This window comes from Homo sapiens, chromosome 12 (genome assembly GCF_000001405.40).
Source record: "Homo sapiens chromosome 12, GRCh38.p14 Primary Assembly".
In the NCBI taxonomy this organism is placed as follows: Eukaryota; Metazoa; Chordata; class Mammalia; order Primates; family Hominidae; genus Homo; species Homo sapiens.
The window spans coordinates 68,654,078-68,672,818 of record NC_000012.12 but is presented as its reverse complement, the minus strand read 5'-3'; the positions used below and the strand labels follow the sequence as shown (position 1 = coordinate 68,672,818).

The window sequence follows — 18,741 nt, the reverse complement described above, 5'->3', positions numbered from 1 at the left end:
TCTGCTCTTTAAAAACAACAGAATATTCAAGGTGTCTTTAATTTTTTTTTTGAGACAGAGTCTTGCTCTATTGCCCAGGCTGGAGTACAGTGGCGTGATCATGGCTCACTGCAGCTTTGATCTCCTGGGCTCAGCCTCCTGGGTGGCTGGAACCACAGGCATGTGCCCCCGCATCCAGCTAATTTTTAAATTTTTTGTAGAGCTAGAGTCTCCCTATGTTGCCCAGGCTGGTCTTGAACTCCTGGGCTCAAGTGATCCTCTTGCCTCAGCCTCCCAAAGCACTGGGATTATAGGCATGAGCCACCACACCTAGCCAAGGTGTTATTTTAACAATGGAAAATGTAGTATATTTAGTTCATAAATCAAGAGCACAAACGGACTTAAAATATTTCAAGTATATTTTGAGCTACAAACATATTGGCATATAAGAGCAAACTATGCGGCTTTTATAAATGGAAGTGCATTGAAAAGCATAAAATGATGGAATACATATTGACAATGCAATATAATGTTAAGAAAAAGTTGCGTCTATCATGAACATTGCCCTTGAAACTTGTTTAGAAGCTGAATCTGCTGCAAAAAGGGCATTTGGGAAATCTGTGCTTCAGAATCCATCCTGCCTACCTATTTGCAACTTTAAATGATTGAGTTTAACTTTTAGGAAACCCAACATCCTAGAGAAGTCTTTCTGCTTCTTTGTCCTTCACAAGATCAACTGAAGTTCTCTAGCTGTGTAAAAAGGCTGAATTTCAGGTAATGAAAGAAAGTTAAACTGCTTTGGTTTTTTGAATTATTTTCTTGTTTAAATATAAGGTTTAAGTATAATGACAATTATTTTTAAATTTCTAAAATTAATTTTACTCAAAGATAGCATAACAATGTTAAGGAAAAGGAAATAATAATACAGTCATCCATGATACTGTTGCCAGCACCATAATTTTTATTAATGCATATTATCCTCCCATGTATTTTACATTCATATTTTACATATAATGATGACATTCATATAGCTTTTTTTTTTATATTCCAGAAAATGTTATTTACTTGTTACTGACAATGTCTCTTCTAGACGAGTCATCCTGTTTTTTCTCCCGCTGTTGTACTTTTGCTTTTCTTTTTCCACCTACTCAGATCCTTCACTTCCTCACCCCTACTCCTATATCACCATGTCAGGTAATGCATATTAACAACTTGGTAAATATCCTTCAGTTGCTTTCTTCATCTCCTTTCCCAGGTGCCCACATGCATCCCTCACATACATCCTTCTCGGTATTCTGTTTTGTTCACTTTGCACGGGAATCCTTCTAAGTCAACCTTTAAACATCAAACTCATTTTTAAATGAATGCATAATGTTCTATATTATGCATGAATCATAATTTATTCAACTATTCTATTGATGGGCATGCACTCTGTTTTTCCTTCTAGAGTGTGGCAATAAATAATCTTGTGCATTTCCTTTCATTTCCTTGGTGTAGATATCAGTAGTAGAATTGAGGTCAAATATGCATATTTAATTTGAACAGATATCAGCTCTACAATGCACATTTCCATCAGCAATAAATGATTCATTTCTTGCCCTTTACCTCTCTTCTGGGACTGTAGTGTTCTCTGAAGTTTTCGTCCATGTGTTGGGCTCGTTGGTACTTTGATTCGTATTTCTCTGGCTACAGTTAGAGCATCTTTTTATGTTGATGGGCCATTTGGATTTGTTCTTATCTAAACTGCCTAGTTATATATCTTTCAACCATTTATCTTTTGAATAGTTTACCTTTTTTTTTTTTTTTTTTTTTAAACGGAGTATCACTCTTGTTGCCCAGGCTGGAGTGCAATGGCACCATCTTGGCTCACTGCAACTTTCGCCTCCTAGGTTCAAGCAATTCTCCTGCCTCAGCCTCCTGAGTAGCTAGGATTACAGGCATGCACCACCACACCCAGCTAATTTTGTATTTTTAGTAGAGATGGGGTTTCTCCACGTTGGCCAGGCTAGTCTCAAACTCCTGACCTCAGGTGATCCACCCGCCTCGGCCTCCCAAAGTGTTGGGATTACAGGCATGATCCACCGTGCCTGGCCGTGAATAGTTTAATCTTTTATCTGTGCTATACTTTCCCAAATTTGACTTTGCAATATATTTTGCCAAATTTTAAATTTATATATACAGTCTGTGACTTACAGTTTTACTTATAATTTTTCAGCTTTGTGATGGATTTATCAGGGTATTAAATGCATTTTCGACTTACATTTTTGACTTCTGATGGGCTTATTGGGACATAACCCCATTGTAAGCTGAGAAGCATCTGTGTGTACACACACACACACTTATTATTTACTTGAAATATATATCTTAAATATAGCTTCATTTTTAAAAATTAGCTAAGAAGGTCTACCCTATCTCTAGATTTCTAGTCTCTTAGATTTTCTTCTAAGACTTCTACTGTTTTACTTTATAGCTTGAAAACATTTTAATATATCTGGAAAGTGCTTTTTGCATGATATAGGGGTTGAACTTTTATTGTCTTTAGACAGATAGTTAGTTGTGCTAGCATTTTACTGATACTATTTTCTATTGAAATATATTTTTGTCGGCCGGGCACAGTGGCTCACACCTGTAATCCCAGTACTTTGGGAGGCTGAGGCGGGCAGATGACCTGAGGTTGGGAGTTCGCAACTAGCCTGACCAACATGGAGAAACCCCATCTCTACTAAAATACAAAATTAGCCCAGGCGTGGTGGCACATGCCTGTAATCCCAGCTACTCGGGAGGCTGAGGCAGGAGAATCACTTGAACCTGGGAGGCGGAGGTTGTGGTGAACCAAGATCGTGCCATTATACTCCAGTCTGGGCAACAAGAGGGAAACTGTCTCAAAAAAAAAAAAAAAAAAAAGAAAGAAAAAGAAATATATTTTTGTCACGTATAAACGTCATATACTGGAATCTAGTTCTGGACTCAGTTCTACTCTACTCTTTCACTTGAACTTTAAGATCATTTTGCTTAATTTCTTTTCTTTTTTCTTTTTCTTGAGATAGAGATTTGCTCTGTCACCCAGGCTGGAGTGCAGTGGTACAATCTCAGCTACTGCACCCTCTGCCTCCTGGGTTCAAGCGATTCTCCTGCCTCAGCCTCCAGAGTAGCTGGGATTACAGGCACCTGCCACCATGCCTGGCTAATTTTTGTATTTTTAGTAGAGACGGGGTTTCACCATGTTAGCCAGGATGGTCTCCATCTCCTGACCTCGTGATCCGCCCCCCTCGGCCTCCGAAAGTGCTGGGATTACAGGTGTGAGCCACCGTGCCCGGCCCATTTTGCTTAATTTCAATTTCAAAACCTCACCCAAGTCTGGCACGGTGGCTCATGCCTATAATCCACTTTGGGAGGCCAAGGTGTGACACTTGCTTGAGCCCAGGAGTTCAAGACCAACATCCAGTCTATTAAAAAATCAAAAACAAAAACAAAGCCTCAGCCAGTTGAAATTTAAATTGTAATCATTATACATTAACATGCTAATTTGGGGGAATTGATATTTTTATGATATTATCTTCCCAGTGTATTTGTTCAGATCTTGATTTATGTCCTTCAATAAGAGTTTATAATAGTTCTTTCTTAGCCTTATACCTTAAGGCATTTAGTTTTTATCTGTCGTGTTTACTATATCAACTTGTAGGTATTTTTTATAAATATAAAGAAAAGCTATTGATTTTTGGCATGCTTATCTTATATCCAGCCAAGTTCCTGAATACTTCTAATAGATTTTTTTGAGCTTTCAAGGTATTCACTTATAATACAAGCAAAAGTAATTTTATTTTCCAGTGTCTATATTTAACATTTCATTCTTTTGATATAATGCATTCATTAGCTCTATTAGGAGACTCAGCCCCTATTTCATAGCATTGCTGAGGGTTGAACAACACATGTAAAGTGCTTAGAGCAATGGTGGCACATCTTAGGGTGTCCAAGAAATAACTAGTATTATTTCCCAACTATCAGAGCTTATCAGATCTTTAATCTAGAAATGTCACTTTCAAGCAGTATCAAGCCAAATAACTGAATAAGTAAGCTATCATTTGCTGGTTTTTCTTATTCTTTCATCATTCCTCATTTTAAATGAATTTGAGGCGCCTACCTGACAGCTTTCTTAAACTTCTATTTGTGATTCATAGGACGGCAGAAAAGAAGAGCCAAGAAAGTCTGTGCAGGGATGATTTCAGATTGTTAACGTTATTTCTCTTTGGAAAAGAAGTTAATGTCAAACTAGATTTAAGTTTAGACATTAAATCTGTTTTGGTTTAACTCATGAAGAGTTTATTTTGTGCAGGTCAGGGAGACCTGGTCACAAAAAATCTTTTGCTTACTAGAATTTGTAACTTTTCTTTTTCAAAGTGAGATAAAGCAGTCGAGCCAATTGTGACAAATTTCACTTGCTCCTCTGAGTGAGTTTTAGTAGTAACTGGGCTAAGAAAAAAACCCCTTCCTTATTATAATAGTCTTAGGGAGATCAACACTGTGCAACTGGCTCCTCTGATACAGTATGGAGGTAGGTAGTGGCACTGTAAAATGTCTTAACTTGCCAGGGCTAACCTGGTTGGCATTCTGTATCCATCCTGTTTGGATGACATACTGAGACCTATCCTCTTTACTCTCCCTTGAACAAAAGCCTTGACGGGGGGCCTAGGGCAACCAAGTCATTAATTCTGCATATGTCATTAACTACATCCTGCCAAGGAGAGAATGCCCTGACCATGAGAATATCCTGTACTGGTTCAGAGTGGAAGGATGGGGGAGGGGTAGTGGATGCCACTTCTTTCTTTGGTGACATCCTCTGTGAAAGCATTGGTGGAATAAAATTAGTGGTATGATAGTGGCCAATGATGTCCTCTTATTTCTGAAAAATTAAGAGCTAGCTGTTAGCTGTTTGCTAAATAGTAATTACCAGATAGTTCAGCTTCTGCAAAGAGCCCAAGATGTATTTCAGGAAGTATTATTGCTTTTTATTCTAACAAAATAGACTTATAAATCTCCCGTTGAAATCCTGTATGATCCAAGGCATGAAGTCATGCTTTACTAAAGTTGGAAAATGCAAAGGAATGAGTAAGTGAAGTGAGAACTTTTTCCACAACAGCTCTTATAGAGAATGACTGAATTGACTTCTGGGAACTGTAAGTTTGTATCTTAAACATGTAAAGCACACAAATGGTTACAATTTCCTTATACCATTACTTGAAATAATAAATGGATAAAAAGGCTATCTGGAGAAGCCCAAATTCATTTTTGAGAAGTGATTACAGAGACAAGAAACCCAACCCTAACGCTGAATGTACTAACACATATAAAAACCCCAAAACCCACTGGGTTGAATTAATCTCTAACTTCCTCAAATGTTCAGTGTACTTCATTCCAACCAGATGAGTTTTTATCATTTAATTCTGGGCCTGTCCATTCCTTCCATTTCTTTTTTTCATGTACCTCTAGATATTACACTCCTCCCATTTCTTAAAAAACAAAAACAAAATAACCAAGCAGTAAATAAAACATTGAATTCAGTGCAGAAGCAAAATCTTATAAACACCACCATTTGGTCTCAGAAACACTAATTTTCTCTCATATGAATCACATATGTCTGATTAAAGGTGGGATGCGTGAGATGAAGAGAAAACCCTCTGGATATGTCTGAAAATGAAAAAGAAAAGTTTGTTATATTACTATTAGATCTAAGTAAAAGGGGGGAAGTTTCTGTCATCATTGATAAATATAAAATATGTAGGGTAGGCAGGATATATACTGACACAAGTAGAAGGTAATTCTGTGGGATGACAATGGTTAACAATATTCCATACCCAGTATGTTGCTTCTGGAACTGTAGAACTAGTCCATACTAAACCTCTGATGGACTCATTAAAGTCTCACCTAATCCCAGACTTCCCTCAGAATCCTTGTAGAGTAGCTTAATTCTGGGGCTTTCCTAGGTGCTCAGGATCTCTCTAGGGAGACCTGAGGGTCTGCTGATTCAGTTCAGAATGTTTTGAGTTATCTTGGAGCAGACCCATACTAGTCTTTGGTACTGAAAAATTGTTAAAATGTTTTGGTAGGTTGTTAATGGCTCCCAAAGGCATGTCCACATCCCAACCCCCAAACTTCTGTCTGTTAACTTTATTTGAAAAAAGTGTCTTTGCAGATGTGATTAAGCATTTTGAGATGAGATTATCCTGAAGTATGTGGGTAAGCCCTAAATGTCAAAACAATTGTCCTTTTAAAAGAAAGATTATAGAGAGGAGGAGATACAAAGATAGAGGCACATGTGATGTGGCATAATGCCATGGGAACAGGTTCTCTCCGAGAGCCTCTAGGAGTACATCCTAACACTTTGATTTTGGACTTCGACCTTCAGAACTGTGAAAGAGTACATTTCTGTTGCTTTAAGCCACCAAATTTGTGATAATTTGTTACAGCAGCCCTAGGAAACTAATATATACTTTTAAACTAGGACACTAACTTTTTTTTAGAAAACAATAGAAATAGATCAACATACGAGAATCCAATTAAAAAGAAGAATTTTCTCCCTAATATTTTGGGTAAAGCACCAAAATACCACTTACGAAAATTGAGAGAAAATAAAGTTTACATTACTGGGGAAGTAGAGAAATACTGCAAAGGCATATATTTGAAAGACAACTTGCCGGGCGCAGTGGCTCATGCCAGTAATCCCAGCACTTTGGGAGGCTGAAGCAGATGGATCACGAGGTCAGGAGTTCAAGACCAGCCTGGCCAAGATGGCGAAACCCCGTCTCTACTAAAAATAGAAAAATTAGCAGGGCTTGGTGGCAGATGCCTGTAATCCCAGCTGCTCGGGAGGCTGAGGCAGAGAACTGCTTGAACCTGGGAGGCGGAGGTTGCAGTGAGCCGAGATCGCGCCACTGCACACCAGCCTGGGTGACAGAGCCAGACTCTCTCAAAAAAAAAAAAAAAGATGTCTTGTTACAGCTGAATTTAAATATAAGTTTGCCAATACTGACTCTGAAACAGACTTTATAGTTGCTGCAGATATACATAGACCTGGTACTAATTAGAGGATGGTATTTCCAAAAACTATCCCATCATCTCCTTACATTTGTAGCAAATTCACCACCAAGTATATACAGAGAGATAAAAATAAGCATTTTAGAGCACAAAATTACTGCTGGTCTATAGCATACTAGAAGAGGAACAATAGTATTTTGCTCTTTGCCATAAAAGATGCTGTATTCTCAATTGCTGCTCAGCTATTTGCCTTGTTCTCTGCCCATGTCTTTGTAATAGCAATCCTTTGTACTCCAACCCTTCTCCCCATCCCAAGACTGTTTAGGCCAGGCTTTCCTTTTTATTACTATTTTTAACCCCAAGTAATTCTTACGAAAATAATTTCATTCACACTCATGGTTTCAGTTGCCTCCAATGTCAGTAACTCCAAGGTCCAACCCTTCAAATCTGACTGCACAGAAAATACATGTTCAAAGGTAGCTGACAAGCTGGCTGTGTTAATTCTGGCTCTACCATTACCCCTCTCTGGGTTATCTTTCACACAGCTGGCAAATCTGTTGCTTTAGTTATGTAACATTTACTATTAGTCTCATTTAGAACAGTAGAGGTCTCCCCATAACTACCTGCTGTACCATACCCATCCGATTCTATTCCATTTCCAGTAGGGAAAGATACTTTTGTCAAGTGACAGGGTCTCCCTATGTTATCCATGCTGGCCTCAAACCACCGGAGCTCAAGAGTTCCTCCTACCTCAGCCTCCCAAGCAGCTGGGATTACAGGCAAGCACCACCACACGCACTTATTTTTTTCTGCCAGCCACATAGTTTTTCATTATTGGTTGATTTGCTCAGGAAATCTGACATTGACCTGTTAATAGTCAACCAGATGTAATAGTTGGGAATATAAAGCAAACAGTCCATATATTTTACAAAATAACAATTTTTATTATGAGTCACTTGCTTTAGTATGGATAATGGAAGAAGAATCACCTATGGTTAGAAAAGTTATTAGATCTGATAGTTTATTTGACTGGTCTTTCCCATCATTGACTTGTTAAACACCTTGCCAGCAGAGACTGGATTTTTTTTTCTTTTTCTTTTTTTTGCAGTCTCACTCTGTTGCCCATGCTGAAGTGCAGTGGTGTGATCTCAGCTCACTGCAACCTCGGCCTCCCAGGTTCAAGTGATTCTCCTGCCTCAGCCTCCTGAGTAGCTGGGATTACAGGCACACACCACCGTGCCCGTCTAATTTTTGTTATTTTTAGTAGAGACGGGGTTTCACCATGTTGGCCAGGCTTGTCTCAAACTCCTGGCTTCCAGTGATCCACCCATCTCGGCCTCCCAAAGCATTGGGATTACAAGTGTGAGCCACCATGCCAGGCCAGACTGGATTATATCATTTACTCCTTCCTACTCCCCTCTGCTCCAAACCTACTGCACTGCACATTAAAGAGTTTGACAGTTAATAGAATTTCCTGTTCTGAAATTAGTGCTCACAGGGGACATAACTACCAGACATAAATAGAAATTTGAATGGGTAATAATGGCGGATGACAAAAACATTAGAGGCTTTTGATCTCTGCCTATTTAAAAACTGAAACCTGACTGAAGTGAATATATTATTACATAAAAATCCTGTAATATATGTGTGTGCTGTTTTGTTTTCAGGAAAAAACCCTGCATTTTGACCCAAATACTAAATTTGGATTGTCTCATTTATGTGGGTCTGTAAGGAAAGTCAGGTTAAACTAGGTTCATAGTAAAACAACATAGTAAAAACTGTCTTCGTACCCTTTTGGAGAAATGAGAAAAATTAGATTACCTATGAATAAAAAAATTTATATATATGAAAAATGACAGCTCACTTTTCTAAAATCATTACAATTTTCTCTTAGAAAGTTGGAAAGCTCTTAGAAAGTTTAACAGACTGTTACCAATAGAGCTTTGTTCATTTGCTGTGTGTTTTCCCCACGTGGGCAGAAAATCCCTGCTGTACCTCCGATATTGTAAACAGCGCCTGAAACACGGTAGAGAATACTGAATGCATTTATTGATTCTCAGATACAAAAATCAGGTAGATATGCCTAATTTTGGATAAAGCCTGTAATTCCTAAGGTCAGTAACCTACAGGCCACCAACAGGGATGTTTTAAGAAGCAAGTTTAAAATGTGTGTAACATGGAATACTTTTTTTAAAAAATGGCAGCATTTAGAATACAGACCTATTTAGCAATAAGCACTTTACTTTTACTTTTCAAAGATAAACTAATGTCAAGCCTATGGAATTAGTTGATTAATCTGTTTAGTAGTCTTGTTTCAACAGGTATCCCAACACAGACTCATCCATTTTCCTCCCAATAGTTAAGGAAACATATATAAAGTTTAGTTCTGTTCTCAATCTACCTCTCTTCTCTCATGTATTCTTGAAATATCAAATGTATTGATTAGGCTGGGTGCGGTGGCTCACACCTGTAATCCCAGCACTTTGGGAGGCTGACGCAGGCGGATCACCTGGGTCGGGAGTTCGAAACCAGCCTAACCAACATGGAGAAACCTCATCTCTACCAAAAAATACAAAATTAGCCAGGCGTGGTGGTGCATGCTTGTAATCCCAGCTATTCAGGAGGCTGAGGCAGAAGAATTGCTTGAACCTGGGAGGCAGAGGTTGGGGTGAGCCAAGATCGCACCACTGTACGCCAGCCTGGGCAACAAGAGCGAAACTCAGTCTCAAAAAAAAAAAAGAAAAAGAAAAAAAAAGAAAATTCAAATGTGTTGATGCACTGTAACAAATAGAACAGACTTATTTATCTTTTTTTTCTAAGACAGGGTCTCACTCTATTGCCATCGTGGGGGTGCAGTGGCGCGAACACAGTTCACTGTATCCTTGATCTCCTGGGATCAAGCAATCCTTCTGAATAGCTGGGACTACAGGTACAGACGTGCACCACCATGCCCAGCTAATTAAAAAAAAATTTTTTTTTGTAGAGATGGGGTCTATGTTGCCCAGGCTGTCAGATTTGTTTTGTTTGAAAAAAAAATTTTAGTCTTACAAATCACAATGTTAAGGCTCACTGACAGATTATGAGACAAGCCTGCAAGCACTTTTAAGGCTTCTAAGGTAATAGTAAGAGTATTAATTGTAAAACACTATAACTCCCTTTTACATTTCCAAGATTTAAGAAGAGATAGAATAGATGGAGATTAAATTCAATGAAAACACAGATAAGAGTTTAACTCAAAGAAAAGTTGTAGTGATGAGTTTCGATTCTAAGTTTGCTGTCCCACAACTAAAGACGGAATGATTTAAAAAAAAAAACGGCAAAACTTCATTTTATAAATGGAATTTTAAAAATTTCTATTTGTAATGCCCACATATGGTAAAGATGAGCTATTTACGTTTAAGAAACAACTGAATCAACAAGAAAGTCAATACAGGGTTTTTACACTTTTTAGAAAAATGTAAGTGAAAGACCACTCTGATTTTCTCCTAAAACTCAAGTTTCTTCAAGTATCCTTGGGGACGTGAAAAGGAATTCATGCCTTTTCTGACTCAATTATTTTAGTATTTTCCCATTAAGCACCAGAAAAGTCAATCTACATGAGTTGTGCTCCCAAACTGCAGTTACTATTTTGTATAGGAGAAAATGGTGCTTTTTGCCAAACCACAGCCTTATTCCTATCAGCATTGAAAAAAATAAATTATATATATAGTATTATATAGACCTCCACTGTACTACATATATATATATACTCTCTCTATATATGTACTATATATAATATATATATATATATATATATATAGACCTAGAGGATAGCACTGGCATTCATTTCACTCTCCTATGAAGTAGGTATTATCATTCTCATTTTACAGATGAGGAAACCAAGGCACCCAACCAAAGGCATATAGTAGGAACTGGAAGAGCTGGGATTAAAAACCCAGGAAGTCTGGCTCCAAACTTTATATTCTTATTCACTATATAGTAAACCATCCATCTTGTAACCCTAACACTCATCTGTAACTAATGTGTTGTTTCCCACCAGAGCAGTAGTTCTTCACCAGGGTGATTTTGCCCTCCAAGTTCACCTCCCTTGTCCCCCAACAATCCAACTGGGGAACATCTGGCAATGTCTGGAAACATTTTTGGTTGCCACAACTTGGGGGCTGGGGTGGTGTGACTGGCATCTAGTGGGCAGATATTAAAATTCCTATAATGCACAGGAGAGTCGCCAGAATACATTATCAAACATAAAACATCAATAGTGCTGAGGCTGAGAAACTCTTCAATAGAATATAAATTCTAGGAGGGCAGCATTTTATAGTTGATCTTGGTTGCTGCTACATCCTTAGGCCTAGAACAATTTTTATACTTAAGTACTTAATTTGTCCAATGAATGAATATTTAGCTGTTTGAGCCTAGAACTGGGCCTGGTACATAGCTGGTAGGCAGCAAACATTTATTAAAAGTAATTATTGAATAATGGCGGTATCAATGGATGTAACAGGACATAGTAAATTGAAGTAATTTTAGTGTTTCACAGTCCCAGTTTTTTGGGCTTAATTTTTTTCCCAAATGATTATAAATAAAACCAGTTCTGCCAAAACAAGTCCCTTTTGTAAAGAATCAGACTTTTTCTTAACATGAAAGCCTTTAAAAATGTATCATTCAAACAGCGTGTATTTAGGGGATTAGCAGATACCCCTCTATTAGATATTATCACTGATTAATTGCTCCAGTAGCTGGCAAATACTTTCAAAAAGTTTTTTAAGAGCTTTACAATTTTTAAAAAGTTTTAAAATAATTCTATAAGAATTCAGTTCTTACAGAATTCAATTATAGCATATTTAAGAAAAATATCGATTCTCTAAGTGCTTAATCCACATCACTCAAAGATTTTTATAACCACAATATTCTAACTTCAATCCTGTATTTTAAAAAATCCATAGTGTAACATCCATGAAAGTATGTTAAATCGTTCCTCTTTTACCTACCTCATCAAATAGCTACTGAACATTACCCAAAGGCATTTATTCGTAAGTAATACTGCTTGATTTACAAAATTATTTCTCAAGGAAAAGTTCAAAAGGTGGTTATGTGGATATTCAAACAATACCAGAAAACTCGCTACTTCCTTATTCCTGTAATTAATGAGTCTGGCTTGCCCAGATGTTAAATTATGAAACCATGCTGTGTAAAATGCACCTATTACAATTAAAACCAGGGTAAACCCGTATTTATTTACTAGCACTGTTAAAACATTACACAAAACACATTCAAGTGGCAAGTAATTATAATGCAAGCCCTTGCATGGCAATCCAAATTTATTGAACTACTGATGCTAAGTTATACAAAATTGCACCACTTTAATTAAGGCTTTTAGTTTACATTTGGCCACCTCAAAGTAGTTGTAACATTAGGTTGGTCAATTTAAATACTGTGGCTCCCTGTTGGATAGACACACAATCTTTACATCCAAACATTAATGCATACAAAGCAACAAGGCATTGTTAAATAAAACAGCAATAGTTACTGCAAATTAGGCCTTGTGACCAATTACATATGATTAAAATTACTTCCCACATTCACATCCACAGTACTCGTCCACCATTTAACATCTCAACCAAAACGTTACACATGTGAAACAATCACTAACAGGCAAAAATACTAAACCTGTATATTTGGTATTGCAAATACACTTATGCATGAGCAAGCAAGGGATTCACAGTGAGAATCTACAGCTGCAGAAGCCTGAAAATGATTTACAAAAATTGTTAAATCATTAAAAAATTGTTTGAAAATATACACTTCTTGTTGTAGACCCCCACTGTACACACGACTATAAACATTGTTCCCTATGTAAACAAAAAAAGGAAACATATAATAAGAGATTTGAAAAGTCTGGACATTTCCTTCCCAACAGATATTAAAGGCAACGTCTTTAATCTAAGACATTATACTGAAAGGACTATCATGTTTTAAAGACAAGATCACCGTCTCCACAGGTTTTTTAAAAATTAAAAAAACTATATAGCTGTGTTAATCAAAGCGCTTATTTTGTACAATAATAATGACCTTGAATTTCTTAAAAAAAATTACAATAAGCTACAAGTATCAAAGAAGCGAAGTTATCTGGAGTAGTCTATATAGGAGCTCTTTGGACTTTCTTTTATTATGCTAAAATAGTGGTGCTTTTAGGATTTACATTATTGTACTCTCCAATACAAAGTATGGGGCATGTTAAAGTATACAGTACACCATTTTCATACATGTACAACATTGGTGGATGAAGAATGTCTCTTAGCAGTAATACTGGATGTAGCCTCTGGTTTTACCAGCTGCAAACTCTAGGACTATTATATAAGTAAAAATCTCTCTTGTGATACTGGAAAGTGATTAGAATGTGCAAACTGATATAGTAGCTTTCATCCGCCTCTTAAAGGGTACCACCACAGGAAAGTCCATTTAAGATGTTGGTAGGTTTAACAAAGTTGGAATGCTGGCACTGTTGAATTGGGCAACAGTTCTTCAGACCTGTCAAAAGGAAAAAAATTAATTAAAAACATGGGCTAGAAAAAGTAAAGACCCAAAAGCAAACAGTTAAGAAAACAGTCTTAAAAGTGTTAGAAATGAATATAATCTAGGCTCTTGTTCTAGGCATTACATTAGTGGCAACATACCACAATTCACGGCAGACCTTTTCATTCCAAAAAGATGAAGTCTATTCTGCTGCCCTCTTGAAAGTCAGTTAAATGAAAATCTTAGGAACAGAAAGGGAAAGTACCTTTGTGCAAATTTTTGTGCATTACCTTCCAAGGATTAAAAAGGAAAAAAATCACATTAAAATTGTTAGTCAAGTCAACCTTATTAGAATTAGGATTGAAAAGTCAGATAGCAATATTAACAAACTGGGTGATCCTGTGTTTACACAATCGTAATGTACTCCTAGAATTAGATCATAAGTATAGAATGCACATCTAACCAAGGTTTCTAGTATCAGATAATCAAGTTCTTCCTCACTCTTTCAATGAAAGTGGCTAAAAAGCTCGTTCAGAGCAGACAAATAGAATTTATTTCATGATGGTGTTTTACAGATTTACAATCACGTTATATAATTTCTAATTCCATATTTAAACATTCTATTAAGACTGATGTCAGAAAAAGGTGGTATTACACTAAAATCACATGTAATTAAAGATTTTAAAAAGTAAACTTAGAATTGTTAAATATGTACTTTGAATAGTTTTCTGCATACATGCCTCGGCTAAAAAAATGTTCCCTATTATATTTTTCTGGTGATCAGACTTGTTACAAGCTCCAGAAGAGTTGTTAATACATATGTGGCTGTTGAAATAATTTTCACAAATGCCTAGAACTTTAGGTCCTCATTCTGAGTCTGAATGAGGTTTGCAATCAAGTTTTCTAAATCCTGGCAGACTGTTGCAAATTAAAAAGGACAGATGGAAGTGTGTGAGCTCAAGCACATGTGTGCTGCTAAGAATGGGCATGTGGTCAGGAATTATAGGATATTAGAATGAGAGGATATACCACTAAACAGAAAGCCCTAGATGGAAGGCAGGAATAAAAACTCTGAAAAGATGCAGAATCAAAGTGCTATGGCAGCACTGAGTCAATTAACATAGGAAGAAATAAGAGTCAGGAATGTCAAAGGTTCTTAAGAATAAATTAACAGTTTAACAATAAACAGTTTAATGACAGCTGAAGAGGAAACCATTATCATTGGCAAACAGCAGCAGCTAATAGTTGAGTGTTAACTATGTGCCAGGTACCGATGCAAGATCTGTGCAGCAAACCCCATGGTACACCTTTACCTATGTAACAAACCTGCACATCCTGCACATGTATCCTGGAACTTAAAAGTTGAAGGAAAAAAAAAAAAGTGGCACATGATGAACATGTCAGGGGTGTGTGTGTGTGTGTGACTGGCACATGATGAACATGTCAGGGGTGTGTGTGTGTGTGTGTGTTTTAAATTAGGGACGGTTGGCTGGGAGCGGTGGCTCACGCGCACGCGCGCACGTGTGTGTGTGTGTGTGTGTGTGTGTGTGTGTGTGTGTGTGTGTGTGTTTTAAATTAGGGACGGGGTTGGCTGGGAGTGGTGGCTCACGCCTGTAATCTCAGCACTTTGGGAGGCCGAGGTGGGCAGATCACGAGGTCAAGAGATTGAGACCATCCTGGCCAACAATGGTGAAACACCATCTCTACTAAAAATACAAAAAAACTAGCCGGGCGTGGTGGCACGTGCCTGTAATCCCAGCTACTCGGGAGGCTGAGGCAGAAGCATTGCTTGAACCTGGGAGGCGGAGGTTGCAGGGAGCTGATATTGCGCCACTGCACTCCAGCCTGGGTGACAGAGTGAAACTCCATCTCAAAAAAAGAATACTTATGTGAAATACTTTACTCATGATGATAAGTAAATAATTAATAAGATAGCATACTAACTCATGGATATCTTATAAAAATAAACCATTTATTTTTCAGAACCAACAAAAAGAAGTCTATACTTGCTTTCATGACAGAGTGCCCTTAATAAGGTTGAGTGATTAAAAGTTAGAGGAAAGATAAGTGAACATACCTGGCTCAGAGCTACAATGCATTTAGTATATTAAAGCAGCTGACATGATGACTTTTTGCGAGCCTTCCCAGGCACTGGAGTTTTTCTGTTAATTTGCCGCACTAGGTCATAAAAGATCTGCAAATACAATAATTTGTTTTAATTTACAGGAGGAACACCTATCCCCCCCAATGAAAAAAGTAAATTGAAAAAACAGAAATTTCCATGGATATAAATTAATGCCCAGAATTGTTCAGCTAAGGAATGAGAATAAAATCAGGTGTTATAACTGCCAAGCTCAAATTTTTGGGGAGTGTTAATATTGTGCTCCTTAAAATACTTAGTTGAAGGAGCTGCAGAGATCTTAACTTAGTTCAATTAGAACATTTACCATCACACAAAGAAAAAATCCTTTTAAAAACTGTAAGTTTTTGCTCTACAACATGACTTGGAGCCTTTCAAGAACCATGCATACTTTTCGGAATTTTACTCTATTTTTCATATAACATCCTTCATATACCTGAAGTCTTAATCTGTCTTCCCTATCCATGTATTTTCTGTCCAGTCTTCCTTTTTCATGGTAAATATCAATGTACAAGTATTTAATAGAGACTGAAATAGTATTGTTTATTTACTACATAGATACATTTAACATGAGGGTTTTTTTTTTTTGCCTGTAACATCAACATATTACCCTGAGTACATATTAACTTGGGGTTAAGACATTTTCCATTCATCTTCAATGTTGTACTTCAAATGAAGACCCATTTTAAGTATATTTGACCATACCTCATTAACATTTATTTTTGATTTTGCAGAAGATTCTAAGAATGCACAGTTGTTCCATTGTCTTGCTAGATTTTGACCTTGTTCCTTCCCTACAACTCTTTCATCTTCCAAGTCACACTTATTACCAACAAGAATCATTGGAACCTAAAAATACATTTGTGAGAGTAAAAATAAATAAGTAAATATGCTATATGAATTCAAATCAAAAGAATTCTAAGAGTCAAATCTAAGAATTACTTTTCATATGCCACAAAAAATATTAAATAATGTATAATAAAATTTACAGCCTTAACAATTTAATCTGTAACATAAACATAAGTATTAACTTTGATGTCAATTATCTCCACTGCCTTCTCTTTTCATGGAGATGCAAACGATAACTCCAAAGGGAAGAAAAGAGAGAAAGAAAACTCTCATATGTTAAGTAAAATGAACACAACCTAGTCAATGTAGACATAAATAAGACACTTTTACATAAACTTTTGAGAAAACAAGCTATGATCCTGTTATGAGAGATGGGGGGAAAAAACCTTAAAATTTTATCATAATGGACGGAAGGCTCCCAAAATAGAATTTTTAGTTTCTCATAGTCTTGTATTAAAAAAGTCAATCAAGGCCAGGCACAGTGGCTCACGCCTGTAATCCCAGCACTTTGGGAGGCCGAGGCGGGTGGATCACCTGAGGTCAGGAGTTGGAGACCAGCCTGGCCAACATGGCGAAACCCTGTTTCTACTAAAAACACAAAAATTAGCTGGGTATGGTGACACACGCCTGTAATTCCAGCTACTTGGGAGGCTGACACAGGAGAATTGCTTGAACTTGGGAGGCAGAGGTTGCAGTGAGCTGAGATCGTGCCATTGCACTCCAGCCTGGGCGACAGGGTGAGACTCCGTCTCAAAAAAAAAAAAAAAAAAGCCAATCAAAATTTACTAAAAATCAAGCCACTTATTAAATGGATTTACAAATTAAAAAATGTTCCCTGAGGTTGCTGTAATTATGTAGGGTCCCCCCAAATTCCCTTGTTTCAGAAGTCCAGAAAATAAAAGCATTTACCATGGGTGTCTCCCAGCTCTCACAATATTTGCTAAAATTAAACTGCAGTACAATGAGTCTTATTTATGTATTTATTTTGAGACAGGGTCTCACTATGTCACCCTAGATGGAGTGCAGTGATGTGATCTCAGCTCACTGCCAACCTCCACCTCCCAGGCTTAAGTGATCCTCCCACCTCAGCCTCCCAAATAGCTGAGACCACAGGCACGCGCCACCATGCTGGCTAATTTTTTTTTTTTTAAATTTCTGGTAAAGGCAGGGTTTTGCTATGTTGCCCAGGGAGGTCTTGAACTCCTGAGCTCAGGGGATCTACCCGCCTTGGCCTCCCAAAGTGCTGGGATTAGAGGTGTGAGCCACCATGCCCAGCCTGGTTCTTACAGTATGCAGATCAGCAAAACCAACACCACTTCGAAACTTGTTAGAAATGCAAATTCCTGGGTCCTACTGCTGACCTACTGAATCAGAAGCTCTGAGATCTCAGCCCAGCAATCTGTTTTAACTGGTCCTACAGGTGATTCTGATGCAAAATCAATTTTGAGAACCACTGCTATATTTAGTGTGATGAGGAATTAAACTCCATTATGGTAGACTCTGAAGGGGCACCTAAATTAATAATGTTAGAATCTAATGTATTTCTTGCCTTTAAAATCCCAGCACTTTGGGAGGCTGAGGCAGGCGGATCACAAGGTCAGGAGATCGAGACCATCCTGGCTAACATGGTGAAACCCTGTCTCTACTAAAAATACAAAAAACTAGCTGGGCATGGTGGCAGGCGCCTGTAGTCCCAGCTACCCGGGAGGCTGAGGCAGGAGAATGGCGTGAACCCGGGAGGTACAGCTATCGCACCACAGCACTTCAGCCTGGGCAACAGTGCAAGACTCCATCTCAAAGGAAAAAAAAAAAAGGAAGGGTGTAACATTTAATTTTCACAGGATAATGGCAAAGGAGGAAATTTCTCACTTTCCACATGATATATATTTGAAAACATGTATGGGTATTTTTGCCTTTCAAGGAAAAAGTTTAAAAAAACCAACACCCCCCCCCCAACCAAAATACACAAGCTTTAAAATGAATTTAAATTTAGACTTAAACAATTATAATCAGGGTTTTGAAATAAAATATATTTATTTGGAAGTCAGCTTACATCATCAGTGTCTTTAACTCGAAGAATCTGTTCTCTCAGGTCTTGTAAATCGTTAAATGTGGACTGTGCTGTGATGGAATAAACTAATGCAAATCCTTGTCCATTTTTCATGTATAAATCCCTCATTGCTGTAAATTGCTCCTACAATAGAAAGAAAGGAACGTTAAAAAACAAT

General features: G+C 37.5%; 1 protein-coding gene across 6 annotated transcripts in view; it reads right to left on the bottom strand.

Annotated features, from left to right (window-relative positions):
* Positions 1-917: 917 nt before the first annotated feature.
* The window catches only part of RAP1B (RAP1B, member of RAS oncogene family), a 61,003-nt gene continuing 43,179 nt past the window's right edge, over positions 918-18,741 (bottom strand). For 5 of the 6 annotated variants that reach the window (NM_015646.6, NM_001251917.2, NM_001010942.3 and 2 more), the window contains 4 exons: positions 18,567-18,707; positions 16,370-16,513; positions 15,602-15,718; positions 918-13,539 (listed from right to left, as the gene is read on the bottom strand). In NM_015646.6, the coding sequence (NP_056461.1) occupies positions 15,632-15,718; positions 16,370-16,513; positions 18,567-18,707 (372 nt within the window). In that variant the 3' untranslated portion in view covers positions 918-13,539; positions 15,602-15,631. The remainder of the gene's footprint in view (positions 13,540-15,601; positions 15,719-16,369; positions 16,514-18,566; positions 18,708-18,741) is intronic. The other variant, NM_001251922.2, reaches the window with a different exon arrangement.